This window comes from Homo sapiens, chromosome 7, assembly GCF_000001405.40.
Source record: "Homo sapiens chromosome 7, GRCh38.p14 Primary Assembly".
Lineage (NCBI taxonomy): Eukaryota > Metazoa > Chordata > Mammalia > Primates > Hominidae > Homo > Homo sapiens.
The window spans coordinates 96,980,504-96,993,977 of record NC_000007.14 but is presented as its reverse complement, the minus strand read 5'-3'; the positions used below and the strand labels follow the sequence as shown (position 1 = coordinate 96,993,977).

At 40.5% G+C, this 13,474-nt stretch overlaps 1 long non-coding RNA gene across 1 annotated transcript in view, besides 2 other annotated features; it reads left to right on the top strand.

The window, feature by feature from the left end:
- The window catches only part of DLX6-AS1 (DLX6 antisense RNA 1), a 45,551-nt gene that overhangs the window by 20,088 nt on the left and 11,989 nt on the right, over positions 1-13,474 (top strand). The gene's annotated exons all lie outside the window — the stretch shown is intronic.
- Positions 459-985: an enhancer, noted in NCBI's record as "H3K4me1 hESC enhancer chr7:96622305-96622831 (GRCh37/hg19 assembly coordinates)". NCBI's record gives its function as "activates a minimal SCP1, AML or CMV promoter by ChIP-STARR-seq in primed H9 embryonic stem cells {active_cell/tissue: H9 hESC(primed)}" and the evidence as "EXISTENCE:reporter gene assay evidence [ECO:0000049][PMID:30033119]".
- Positions 986-1,511: an enhancer, noted in NCBI's record as "H3K4me1 hESC enhancer chr7:96621779-96622304 (GRCh37/hg19 assembly coordinates)". NCBI's record gives its function as "activates a minimal SCP1, AML or CMV promoter by ChIP-STARR-seq in naive H9 embryonic stem cells {active_cell/tissue: H9 hESC(naive)}" and the evidence as "EXISTENCE:reporter gene assay evidence [ECO:0000049][PMID:30033119]".

The window sequence follows — 13,474 nt, the reverse complement described above, 5'->3', positions numbered from 1 at the left end:
CTAACACATGGCCCTCACCCCACAGACCACTTTGGTGTCTGGGAAAGGGAGAGAGATGGAATACAGGTGTTCTAGTTTCCATCTCCCTGGCCACCAGGTGTGGCTGGGGATGAGGTGGAGAAAGGGTGGGTTTGGGTTGCTTTCTCAGTTTGGGTTGCTTTCTCAAGCCAGGCCTGCACAGGTAATGTTTCTGCTTTTGAGGCTCCTCTGGTTAATGAAGTAGGTGTGATTTTCATGTGACAGGTAAGGCTCAGAGAGATTCAGCTTTGGCCCTAGCCTCAGGGCTCCGAAGGCAGCAGTCCCAGGATTCCTTGACTTCCCGCCAGAGCTCTTTAAACAGCCCCCTCTCTCCGGCCTTCTAACTTTTTCTTAAATTCTGAATACTTTAACCCTTGCTTGTAGTAATGTAGTTGTAGTTCTAAACCGTGTCAGTTTCCTACAGACATCTTCCGTGTCTAGGCGAGAATCAATACTAAAACACTTTTTTATTTTTAAAGTGGGTTTTAAAGGCCTATTGTGGGGAAACCGAGATGTCAATGTGACCTGGAGGCGCAGTAGGAGCAAGATTCCATTGGCGGCCGGCCGCGGCACAGCCTGGGCTGCGCCGGAGTTGGCTCACGTGCGAGCCTTATCATGCAAATCCGACGGCTCGGGCATGCGCACTGCATCCCTCAGGTACCCGCCTTCGTCTGGTAGTAGGGACTAAGACTTCCAGATGCGCAATAATTAGGTTTCCTCATTAAACAAAGGTTTCCCCATCATTCCCTCCTCCCACCGTTCTCAGCGTGGGAGCTCCTCACCAAAGCAAGCTGCTTACCCGTCTCCCCCAGCCCCACCTTCCAGTCCCAGCTCTCCAGCCACCACCCGTACTTCATCTTAGGGTCCATTTAGGGCCCTCTGCATTCCTCGCCATCATTTTTTTTCTTTTGACCTCCTATACAGGATATTAAATTCGAATTTTCCCCTCGTTTTAGGTCCGCTTCCTCACCTCTCCTTCCCAAAGATAAAAAATTCCCTACCGATCGATCGATCCTGGGTGGGAAGAGGGCGTCAACACCGCCGCTCCCTCAGCCTCGGCCCACTCCGCCCCTCCCTGGCCGTTTCGGTTTCATGCAGAAGTGCTGAACTTGGGTGTCCCAGGAACTCGATGGGCATTAAAGCTAGTCGCCAGCCAAACCCAATCCCCCCTACCTCCAGGCATCAGCCTAGGCCGCTAAGAAGCCCAATGCGGGCATCTGTAGCCCCTCGACCACCCCCAATCCCAGTGTGGGGGGCGCTGCTCTTCGATTCTCAGCCCCCACCTCGGGAATAAGCGTACTACACAGGGAAGGGCCCCAGGAGTGTCCTCTAAACTCCTCCAGGACACCCTGTGCGGGCATGGGGACCTCAGGGATCCATCTCCTCGGAGCAGGAGAATGTCCTTTTCTGGAAAGAAATCTCAGTAGGCGAGAAATAGGCAAGGTTATATTCGAAGCCTCCCGCGGGAAAGCTCGGTGGCAAGGTTCGCAGTTGAGCCTGACCCGCGCGCGGCGTCGCGGCGAGGACCGCGCCCACACGCGCTCCTGGAATCACAGTTAGCTCTTTCTTCCTGGTAGAAACAGGCATCGCTGCTCCGGCTTTCAGTTACTCTCAGCTTACCTGCAGGGCGAACCGATTTGTATTTTTCCACCAGAAACCTCCTGTCCCGAATACCCCCAAACTCCCCCTTCCCCCTCATCCAGCCTTAACCAGGAGAAGGGAGAGATAGGGGTTTGATTCTCTGATATGACACGAATAATTGTCGCATCATGTAGCTTCCTACATCTTGGTTTTAATTTTCAGTGAACCAAACAAAGATATTTGCAATTTTAAAATAAGCACTCGATTTAATAAATGGGAACATTGTGCAGGGAAGACTGTGCTCCCCCCGCCCCCCAGCCCCTTCAGAAGACGTTATTAGCTCTGACAGCATGCCGCTCAGGTTTGCGGAGAGGATTTTGTAAAGGGATGACAGACAGGAAGGCCAGCAATCATGGGCTCCTTGGGCTGAAGCTTTTTTTCTTTCTTTCTTTCTTTTTCTTTCTTTTTTTTTTTTTTTATCAGAATGTTCTGTTCGATGCCATTTATCCTTGATGATAGAAAATTGCGCTGTTGCCAGGACGCTGCTGCTGCCGCTGAAATAGAGGGCAGGAGCCACATTTCCATTTTCCGGCTTGAAAGCTATTCAAATGAATTTGCAGGGGGGTGGGGGGAAATCTGGCGATAAACAAATGAGAATAAATCGAGTTCCCCTTTCCATTCTTTTCTTTAAATGGGTAGCTCTTCATTTCCTATATAAAGATTTTTGTTCATCAGTGTTTGTGAATATCTGGGAGATAGTGTAAGCCAACGCACAATTTATTTTGATGCTCTTAAAGTGACTAACCACATAAACATTTAAAAAGAAGTGCATGTCTAAATATATATAAAGTATAAGAATTATATATACATAGATCATGTACATAACATACCTTCACACAATTCCAAACTACAATGAAAGATAAACTCTTTCAGTAGCGTTTCAATTCAATATAATTTGCAAGCACTGCTGGCTATTGATAGTTATGGACTTCTTACTAGTTGTGTATATACAAGTATTGCTAGATGGAATAATTTTTAAGGCCCTCCTCCCATGTTATGTATTTCAGGATACTATATAATTTAATTACCCTTAGATCTTTACTAATTTAAAAACATTTATTTCTGTAAAGATATATAGATATACAGATAGATATAGATAAGTTATCCTCTATTATGTGTCTCTTTTAAGTTAATTTTCCAAATTTACCTTTTAAGTTTTGTTTCTAAGTTAGGAAATATAAGAGTTGGTGTGCTGTGACTTTAAAAATATGAAATAGAGGCTGAAGCCTGTGCTTCCCTTCCTCAAAACTTAGATTCTTTGCAAGTTGAAAAAGATCATGTATTGAACTCAAGGGATCACATCCAAAACAGGACATTTAAAAATGAGATCTTAAAAAAAACAGCCTATAACACACATACTCTATTTCTCTCTCTCTCTCTCTCTCTATATATATGTATATGTATATTCTGTCTGTCTGTCTCTCTTTTCTCTCCCTGTCTCTCTCTCTCTCCCTCCCTCTCTTTCTTTTTAAAATAAGCTCAGGTAGATCTAATCTAATCCATTTCCAAGGCCTGAATTCTTAACTTTAGAAATCCCAGATTTGATCTCCATACAGAATCCTGTACAGAACTGGTGAGTTGATTTCTGGACTTGGATACCTCATAGATATTACATATTAAATAAAGATCCAACCCTAAAATCTGGGTTTGCTTCTTCCTTGACATATATATGTATATGTATATATATGTGTGTGTGTGTGTGTGTGTACATATATATGTGTGTACATATATATGTACACACGCACATACACACATTAGCAATGTCTTGACAGAAGCTATAAAACTTACGAGGCCCTCACTGTGTTTTAATAATTAAATAACTTTTATTGAATTATAACACTAACGTTTTGTTTCAAAGTTATACAGGCTGTTAGGAAATTTTCAATGATATAAAGGCCTTTAAGACGCAACGACTAATTGTATTCGAGATTTCAGATAGTAGTTCAAGCTTCAAAAAAATCCAACATTTTAAAACTTCACATTTTTTAAACGAATCATGGGTCCCTCACTACTATGATTTTAGCTACATGACTGTTTCCCCGTGATAGGACACCGCTGGGCAAACCAGGGCTGCACAGACAATAATAGTATAAAATTAGAAAGAGAAAGGCAGAGGGTGAGTTGTTATTGATGTTCCGAACTTCTCCAATAGAATGTTCAGGCGACTTCTTCCAGACAGCCACAATTCCTAGTTACAGATTCCGAACAATCCTTGTTATGGATTCCAAACAATCTTAGTTCAGCTGAAAATTTCCTTGTTAAGAAATTCAGCATAATAATGAGAAAACAGTTGACACCGTCAGATGAAGCTAAATAATGCAAGGAAACGGCCCAAGAAAGTCCAATTTGCTTGTTTGTTGTGGTGAAAACAGTTAGGGGGCGAGCATAGAGTATTTAGGTACTGAGATTCTGTCTCCCCTATTCTTGGCCCTGAGAATTGTGTTCTGGACCCAACTCCTTTTCCAGTTGAGGCAACTCACAAGGTTCTTCGGGTGAATTTCCCCTTCAGGTAGGAGCTTGGGGTGGGCAGTGGGAGGCCGGCGCCGCCAGGACCGCAGAGGCGAAGGTGTAGGTGCTGGGTTGCGGCTGCCGGCGCTCCAGCACGTGGGACCCCCTTCCCAACTCCCTAGAAAGAGCCTGACTCCAAGCTCCCCGCATCTTCTGGCTCCACGCGGGACTGGTATAAGGGACGTTAAGAAAAAGTAGGTGGAATTTCTTTGGGTGCCAAGGCAGGGGTTACGCAGCAAGGACCCCCGGTCCCCTGGTGTGCGGTCGTGTAGAGAACTCTCTCCCTGTTCTACCCTGCACTACCTTCATCTCAGGTCACCTCCTGGGCTTTGGCCGAGTAGCGAGGACAGGTTTAGAGTGTGGCCTCCAGCCAGGGCAGGAGAGGAAGGGGGAGGAAATGGTGAGAGAAAAGACAGGGCGAGTGCTAACCTAAAAGAACTTGGAAGAGGGAACATGAAGAAGTTGTCCGAGAAATTCTGTACCCTGTGAAAAAGCAGGGCTCAGCTGGTTGAATGGGCTGCAGGTGTTGGGACTTCTTGTTGTATGGATGTCTTTGTGTGGCTAGGCTTGCAGAGTTGTGGAAAAGTTGAGCTTTGGGTGGAATTGTATAAGCCGAGAGTGGAAACCGTGGTGTCACATTCCAGGCTGAGAAAACCTTCACCCCCAGCCCCGCGATCCTGTTCTCCCATAGAGTACTGAGTCCAAATAAAATTGCAAATTGGGCTACACTGTGGCGTGCCCTCTTCTAGGTAATGCAGGTAAAATCACAGTCACGTTTTTGGAGGAGGTGAGCTTCTCCCTTCCCAAGTAGTGTGTACACTAAGCATTAAGAATAAAAGCGATTTTCTTTTCGCCTTCTGAGATCCCAGGAATATGGGACTTGCCTTTTCTTCAACAAAAGAGCAAGCAATTCTGAAAGGCTGCCGAAACACTCACCCTTTAGGAGTTCCAGTATCCAGTAATGTAACATGCAGTGGAAACACAAAAGCTCAACATTTTGATATTTTAAAAGATTTTCCCGTCTTTTAAATCCTCCTTATAAATGCCTGGTTGTAGCAATGTGAAAGTGCTTTCTTGTGAAAACATGCAGCAGGCTTCCCTTCCCTTTTCATGCATACTAGCAGCTGCAAAACATTCCAAATGAGCTAAAAGGTCATTATGGAGACTATTAATAAGATGACATTCAGTGCTGGCCTCATCAACCAACCGAAAGACTGCCCCAGAAAATGAGAAAAGAGAAAGCAACAGTGCTTACAAAATACTCTAAATTCTGTATTGCCTTCCAAATCCCAAATAACTTTTCATAGTTAGCTGTCCCTCGTGCTATTTCGTGCTATTAACCCACCCCACTCAAGTTCAGTTTCCCCTCTGTTCAAGGGCTGCATTTGTACTTATTTCTTAAGTCTCCAGAGCTTTGAGATGTGCAATGCAAACAGTAAAGAATCACATTAATCCTGCTTTGATCTCAGAAAGGAGATCATAGCAGAAATCAGGTCACCACAGAGATAGGCGCTGCTGTGAAAATGAGCTTTCTTTTTTTCTTTTTATTTATTTTTTTCCTTCAAGATATCTCCCTTGGCTTCAGGACATTCATTGCTTGCAAACTGGAGAATTGCCAATATGAACTAAGAATAACTTGTAATTTAAAAGTGGGACAATTAAGCTTCTTAGAGCTGTCTTATAAATCTAGATACTGGAATTAATGTACTCACCATGTCTATTTGGTTATTTACATAAACACATTGGACCATATTCCAAATACATGCCCCAAACACAACCTCCACAGGGACTTAATTGCCTAAAAAAAAAAAAAAAAGTTGTATTTTCTCTGCTGTCTTTTACCCTGGAGTCCTGTAAGCATAGAATAATGGTAGTTAATCTGCTTAGATAATTTAAGACTTAAAGATTAGAAAGCCTTTATTGACAATTTCAAAAATTCAAGTCTGAGTGCTTTGGCTAAGCAAAGCTTAGGAGATGACAGGTGTGATAAAAGAACTGCCAAAAACTAGACTTTATTAAAACTAAAAAGTGTGATGTTTTTGTGCCTCTGAAAGAGATGATTGTTATAATGCTCACTCAATCCAAATGTGTCCCTAAACAAACAACTGCAGGGGTATTTTATTTTATGCTACCTGATATTTATACAGATAATACAGCATTTCTCTCTGCTTGCATATACACATGCAGATAAATTTTATAGTGCTTTTCAGCCCATATCCCATATATATAAATATAGTTAATCAGTTAGTCTAGTTAATATAGCTGAGCTACATTCTCAACACAAGTGATGTGCACATGATCATAAGCATTTGTGCTAAACACACATCCTTCCCCTCATTTCCCAATTTGCTGTGGTAACATCAACATATCACAGGAGGCTACTTACGAAGTTGTAGCTGCCACCCAGCTTTCTTCAAAATTTGTAGATTGGGAGGAACACATGAAGATATCTGAATTTGTTAAAAATGCTATTCTCTTTCACATTATTCCTATTGAAGTTGATTTTCATTTAACCTCAGTGGGCCAGTCTTGATGACAGCCGAAATCACACTGACACCAAGGCTACCCAAATGCTTTTACATGTAGGACAAAGTACATTAAACTTCTTTGCTTCAAATATGTCCTTTTGAAGTGATTTTAGAACTGGTTTGGTAGGAGAACTCAAGTGGGAAAAGAAAGTTTAGGGAGAAAGAGGGCAAGGAGAGAAAGCAGGTGAAAGAGAGCCACATGAATAGAAAGTAGGGGAAGAGAAACCTTTTGTGGCCATAGATTATGTACTGTGAATTGTGGAGGATATTTTCATATTCAGTGTGTGCTCTCACCTTAGTGGCCTTCTTTTTTTTTTTTTTTTATCTGTTCTTCTAAATCTGCTACCATTAAAGTCAGGTTCTAGAGAATATGTAGTGGAAGCTACCAAAATATCCCTTTAGGAGATGTTGAGAACATGTTATTGGATACAGATGCACAAAGCATCGCATTAAGTGTCCCAGGAATGCTTATTTTGGTGATATTTAGCTGAAAAATGTATTGTGCTCATATGAGCTGATTTTTGTTTTGTCTTACTTGTGACTTAATTTCTTTCTACAGATTACTTTATAAGCTGACTTTACCCATATTTTGAAGTGAAAGATATTTTCTTTCCAGAGGAGCAACAAATGTTGGTTACTTTTTGGTCCTTAAAGATGGCAGTAAACATTCCATCTTAATTATATTTAGAGTTTTGTTAAAAATTTTAATCTTTTCAGTCCACTGTCTTCCTTTTATCAGTATCCCAAGAGCCTGGTATGTGGTATGTGTGTAAGAAGAGAGAATAGACCTCCTTGTCTTCTTAATTAAAGTTTATACAGCTTGGAGAAAGTAGTAATTTTCTAGAAAATTAGATCATTTTAGATCACTATAGTTCCACTCTTCTCTCTTAAACATGGTTCTAAGCAAATCTTGCCCTTTAAAGACCATCAATTAAAAAGCAAAGATTGCTGGAGAAGTATTCTGAATTTAAAGTATTTAGATTTAGAAATCTGACCCTGCCTCCATAAGAGTAGGTATAAATGATAAGTCCTACCCTGTATGCATGGTGTGACAACTCATGTTGATTTCTGTATCGCATATCAGAGTGACACATGACACTTCCCATCCCTACTTATTGGAAACAGCATCATTTTCACCTCTCTCTTCATTATGGGGGTTGTGATTCACATGCACAATAGGTCCTTCTTAAGTCATGATTCCTTTTCTGAACAAGATAGAAATCAAATTTAACAAGGACATAATCAAGGTATTGAACCAAAGGATTTTTTAAATGACCAAAAAAAGGGAGTCATTTTCACATTAAAAAAATGTTGTGCTTACTTTTAGGAGATTCACCTAAAATTTTTTGTGTGGCTTTTCATTGCCTACAGAGGACAGACAAGCACCACTGTGGCATAGCTGGGGAGGCAGTTAGAGTCTAGTGGCGGTGGGGGGCTTTAGAGTCAGACTGTTGAAAAATCTTCAATAAGTTATTTTACTTCTCTAAACCTGTTTCTTTCAGTACAATTGGAATAATAATAGAACTGGTTTAAATGGTAATGGTAGAATTAAATGAGACAAATGCCTGTAAAATGCTTACCAAGTTGCTTTGTGAAAAGTAAATGATCAAAGAATACTAGTTAATGCTTAATATTAGCGTTAATGTAATGTTTAACAAGTCCTTTTAGTTTCTACTTCTGCATATGCTATCCCCTTATTCTGGAAAGCCCTCCTTTGGTCATTGCCCACCTGGCTGACTTCTCACCTCTCCAGCTCAGCTCAAGTGACATTAGCCTTGGGGAAATCTCCAATGCTTGGAATTAGGTGCCTGTTTTTATGCCTCCGTAGTATCCTCTGCTTATTTCTTTTACAGCATTTTGCAAGTTTTATGGTAATTGTTGCTTTATTTATCTGTCTCCTTTTTTAAACTATAAGTTGTAGCAAGCACAACATAATATTTATATTTCTCAACTCACAACTGAGCCTGATGGATAGTAAATACTCAGTATATGTACACTGAAAAAATACGTATTCAATTTTTTCTTTCTGTTTGGTTTACATTTATAAATAAGTTGTAATTGGATGGATTCTTCTGTCCTTAGTTTTCTCTAGTTAGTATTTCTCAAGAAGAGTGCTAAACTTTAGGAGGTTAAGGTGGGAGGGTTGCTTGAAGCCAGGAGTTTGAGTCCAGCCCAGACAACAAAGTAAAACTCCTGTCTCTACAAAAAAAAAAAATAAAATAAAATAAGAATTATCCAAGCATAGAGGTGTGCATCTGTAGTCCTAGCTACTTGAGAGGATCTCTTGAGCTAGAAGTTTGAGACTGTAGTGCACTCCAGCCTGGGTGACAGAGCAAGATCCCCACCTCAAAAAAAGAAGGAAAAAAAAAAAAAAAGGAAGGAGTGCTAAAAGGAACCTGTTATTCTCCCTGAGTAACTTTATGAAGAGGTTTGATTGTGGGCTCTGTAATGAATTCTTGACATTTTCAGGACAAACTATTTTTGGTGAGTTTCTATCTTAATTGAAGAACTTATAAACATGTTGGGTTACCTGTCCAATCCTTAGACATTCGATTGTACTATTCAATATATGGTTTATGCATATTCGTTGGATGGTGATTTGGATTATTTACTTGAGTGCTAATAGGTTTCAACTACCACAATGTCCTAGCCAAGTGGGCTTCCAATGAATCCAATTATGTCATCACATATTATAGTTAACAGGGACTGGAGGGATCATAAACATTTCAAAAAGCTATTTAGATGTATTTTGCTGGCATCTTGGGCGCCTACAACTGTTGAACAGAAATACAATGAAGCCCTCACTGTCTTAGGCTAATTTTAGGGAAGACCAGTATAAACTATGATATGTCAGAATTATAAAATATTGTAATCTATTATATATAACATATTTACATAAGCCAGGGATTAATATTCTGTGGCCAAGACTCATAATTGGATCTGCTTTAATTAGTAGGCCAGAATTCTTTGTATTTATTTCATTAATCATTAGAAACAGTTGTTACTGGAGTGTTTGAAAGCAGTCTATTTCCTTAAGGAGATTAATCACCCCCTGCAAAGCTAATTTAATTAGATCTGTAAACTCTCTTCTACCAAAGGAAAAGTTAAGCCAATTCCCCAACTTGGAGTTATCAAATGTTTCAAAGGCACAAGATGTAAATTAACTAGGTTTTCCTGGAATAACTTAATAAATATATGAGGTAAGTGATAATAATAATGATTCCTGCTGTTCTGCTCATGTAAACCGTAATTTATGTTTATAACCTTTTCCCTTGCCCCCTTGAAAATTAAATTTAGCACTACAAAATTACAAAAGAAAAAATGAAATTTTACACCATTGTGAGAACATTAGAATTTCTATTAATGATGAAGGGATATTCAGGTTTTCAAACTAAAGAACATAGTAAATATTTTGATTTGGTTGCAGATTCAGAGAATGAACCTCACAGAAAGTTATAAAAAGAACTTGCGGAGGGTCATCCAAGTCTGTTTTCTTGTACCCATCCAAGGCACTCTGAAGCCATTATAGAACCTGTACTGCTTGACATCCAAGACAGTGCTAACCTCACACTCAAATGTTTTCATGAAGATTTTAGTTGCCTGCTCAGACAAAGGAGATCAAAGAAAGGGAAGGAGTGGAGGGGCAGAAATTGTATCTTGCACTGGGCAAAATACAATTTGGGATTTGGAATCCTAAGATTAGGAAATGGTAAATTACTAGCATGGGCTATGGTAAAGTTTGCCATGTGAATGTCTTTTTCCATCTCTGCACTTCTTTTGTGGCACTTCTCATTTATTTATGCCGCATATATTTCCATGAAGGATTTGAAGTGGCTTTAATAACTGACATACAAGACAAAACAAATATTTTCCTCAGCCCACTCTCACTTTAGATTCAAGCTATGGAGTTGCTCACAGCAGGCTAACCAAGAAATTTCTGCCAATGGACCTAATCATTAACTGGTTTTATTATTAACACAAAGAGCATGCATAAAAAAGTCTTGCTGTCTTTTTCCTATGTAGGTAATGTTGGTCCAGGAAAAGACGACCTCTTTCCTCTTTCCAAACATCAAAATCAGTTTTTGTCACATAAACATGGCCTAACTAGTCCATCTATCAACCATAGTTAAAAGATATTCAAACAAGAGTCTACAACTTCTTTTGGAAGCCTATTCCTTGTGGTTGCTGAAAGGATAGTGTGAAAACTTTATTGTTTCAGATTGGACCTCCCAAGCTTGACTGTGAATTTTTATGCCTGAGTATGTAAAAAACTCCAAGAAAAACACAGCCCAAACCACCACATTTTGCTTGCTTTCAGGTTCAAACCCTATAAAACCACCACATTTTGTATGGTTTCCACCCCAAACCATAAGTTGGCATGAGATCTCACTAGATGTTCTGCTCAGGTCTAATTGAAATGTTTACCAACCTTGACAACATTTTTTGTGAACTTGTCACCTATTTGGAATGCAGGTGAAACAAGCTGAGTTTCTCAGCAATAGTTGCCTCATTTTGATTTCTTTACCCTAGCCCTACCACCCAACTATGGACATGGGGCCATTTTGTTGTCCTCGGTCAATCATTGTTACTCCTTCTGTGACATTCTGCTGATGCTTGCCTTGGACCTTTCTAATTCTTTTCTTTCCCTCAAAACTTATGTCTTCTGTGTATCATTCTCCCAGGTTATGGACTTTTTTTCTTTTCTCTTCTTTTTTTTTTTTTTTCTGAGACGGAGTCTCACTCTGTCACCCAGGCTGGAGTGCAGTGGTGCGATCTCGGCTCACTGCAACCTCTGCCTCCCGGGTTCAAGCGATTCTCCTGCCTCAGCCTCCCAAGTAGCTGGGACTGCAGGTGCATGCTACCACGCCTGGCTGGTTTTTGTATTTCTTGTAGAGACGGGGTTTCACCATGTTAGCCAGGCTGGTCTCCATCTCCTGACCTCGTGATCCACCCTCCTCTGCCTCCCAAAGTGCTGGGATTATAGGCGTGAGCCACAGAGCCCAGCCTCAGGTTATGGACTTTGAAGCTAATCAGATAAATCAGTTTTGCTAAGGTGTTAATGAGATTTCAAAATTTTAGGGAATGCACAGGGCACTAGATTGTGAGTTCCTTGTGGTAGGCATGGTCTCTTGCTGACAATTTAGAATTGCCAGATAAAATATGGGATTTTTATTTGTTAAATCTGACAACCCCATGACCATTTTATCTTCATCTTCTAGTAACTCCCACACAGAAAGTGCTCAATAAATACTGATTGAAAATGAATACATAAAAGTAATGGAATATATATATATATATATATATCCTTTGATTCTCCCTAAATCATATTACTTAGGAAGCTGAGTCATCTCATAGGCCTATTTATATGATTGCAGGCTTCTGAGTCTTGTTTTTGATGGAGATTTGGGTAGGTATAATCTTTGACTTTTCTTGCTTCTGTTGTTTTCTTGTGGTCATTGTTCTAGAGGAGCATCCATCTTCCTTGGAGGAGTCTGTAGAATAGAAAGGGGTGAAGCGGGGAACACCTGCTATTGTCTCATAGTACACGAAAGGAAGAGCAATCCTGAAAATTCGGTTGGGGGACTTTGAGAGAATGGGGAAGCTAAGTGATAACATCCTACTGTCATTCTCTCTCCATGGGAAGTGGGAGTTCCCTTGATAACTACAAATAGGGGACTCTTCAGAGTCCACAGGGGCTGGGGCGGGGGGCGGGGAAATCATAATTGCAGATTGGGCTGACAAGAATCGCTTATAAATAGTCCTAATGCCCCCAAAGTCATAATCATGAGGATTCTTAAGGCCTCTGTGGAAGGGGAAAAACTGTGCAGAATGTTTATTTTATAAATATGTTAAATTATCAATTCCATTTATCATTGCAACTGCTGTAAAATCATAAGGGTATGCTTATTTTAAGAGCTAGGGGCCATTGAACATAAAGACAGTATTGACTTTGTCTTCATTTGTTGCATCTATTGTTTTTTTCAGTAAGTTCCCAGAACGTTTCCAATACTTTATTATACCTCTCCTTTGGGGCAGTCAGTATCTTTTGGGAAAATGAGACTTGGAAAATAAAGAACTTAGTGGACAAAGTGCTTATGCTTTAGGGACCTCTTGAACACATGTTTATATGTTATCTGTTTATTTACAGCTGTGACTAAAGTTCATGGTTGATATATTTTCATGTATTGGTTCCCCCCAAAAGGCAAGGGAAATACTTTAACCTTGAGACAAATCAGCTCTGAGCTAGACTGAGCCCAGAACATACGCTCCCACACACTAACTCCCTCAAATTCTGTTTTGTAAATGGATTCTCTCTGCCACTTGTTTTTTTTTTTTTTTTTTTTTTTTTTTTTGAGATAGAGTTTCACTCTTGTTGTTCAGGAGTGCAATGGTGCAATCTTGGCTCACTGCAACCTCTGCCTCCTGGGTTCAAGTGATTCTTCTGCCTCAGCCTCCTGAGTAGCTGGGTTCACAGGCATGCACCACCACACCCAGCTAATTTTTTGTATTTCATAGAGATGGGGTTTCACCATATTGGTCAGGCTGGTCTCGAACTCACGACCTCAGGTGATCCACCCGCCTCAGCCTCCCAAAGTGCTGGGATTACAGGCGTGAGCCACCGCACCTGGCTATCTCTGCCACTTGTTTATCTGATTTCTAGAATCTACTTCTGGCCTCAGGCACATTGACAAATAGAGGAAAACTATTTGCCATCTTGCTATTGAATTCTGTTCCTGTAACAAAACAAGGTCAAAGTGCTCTGAAGGCCCATCCAGGAG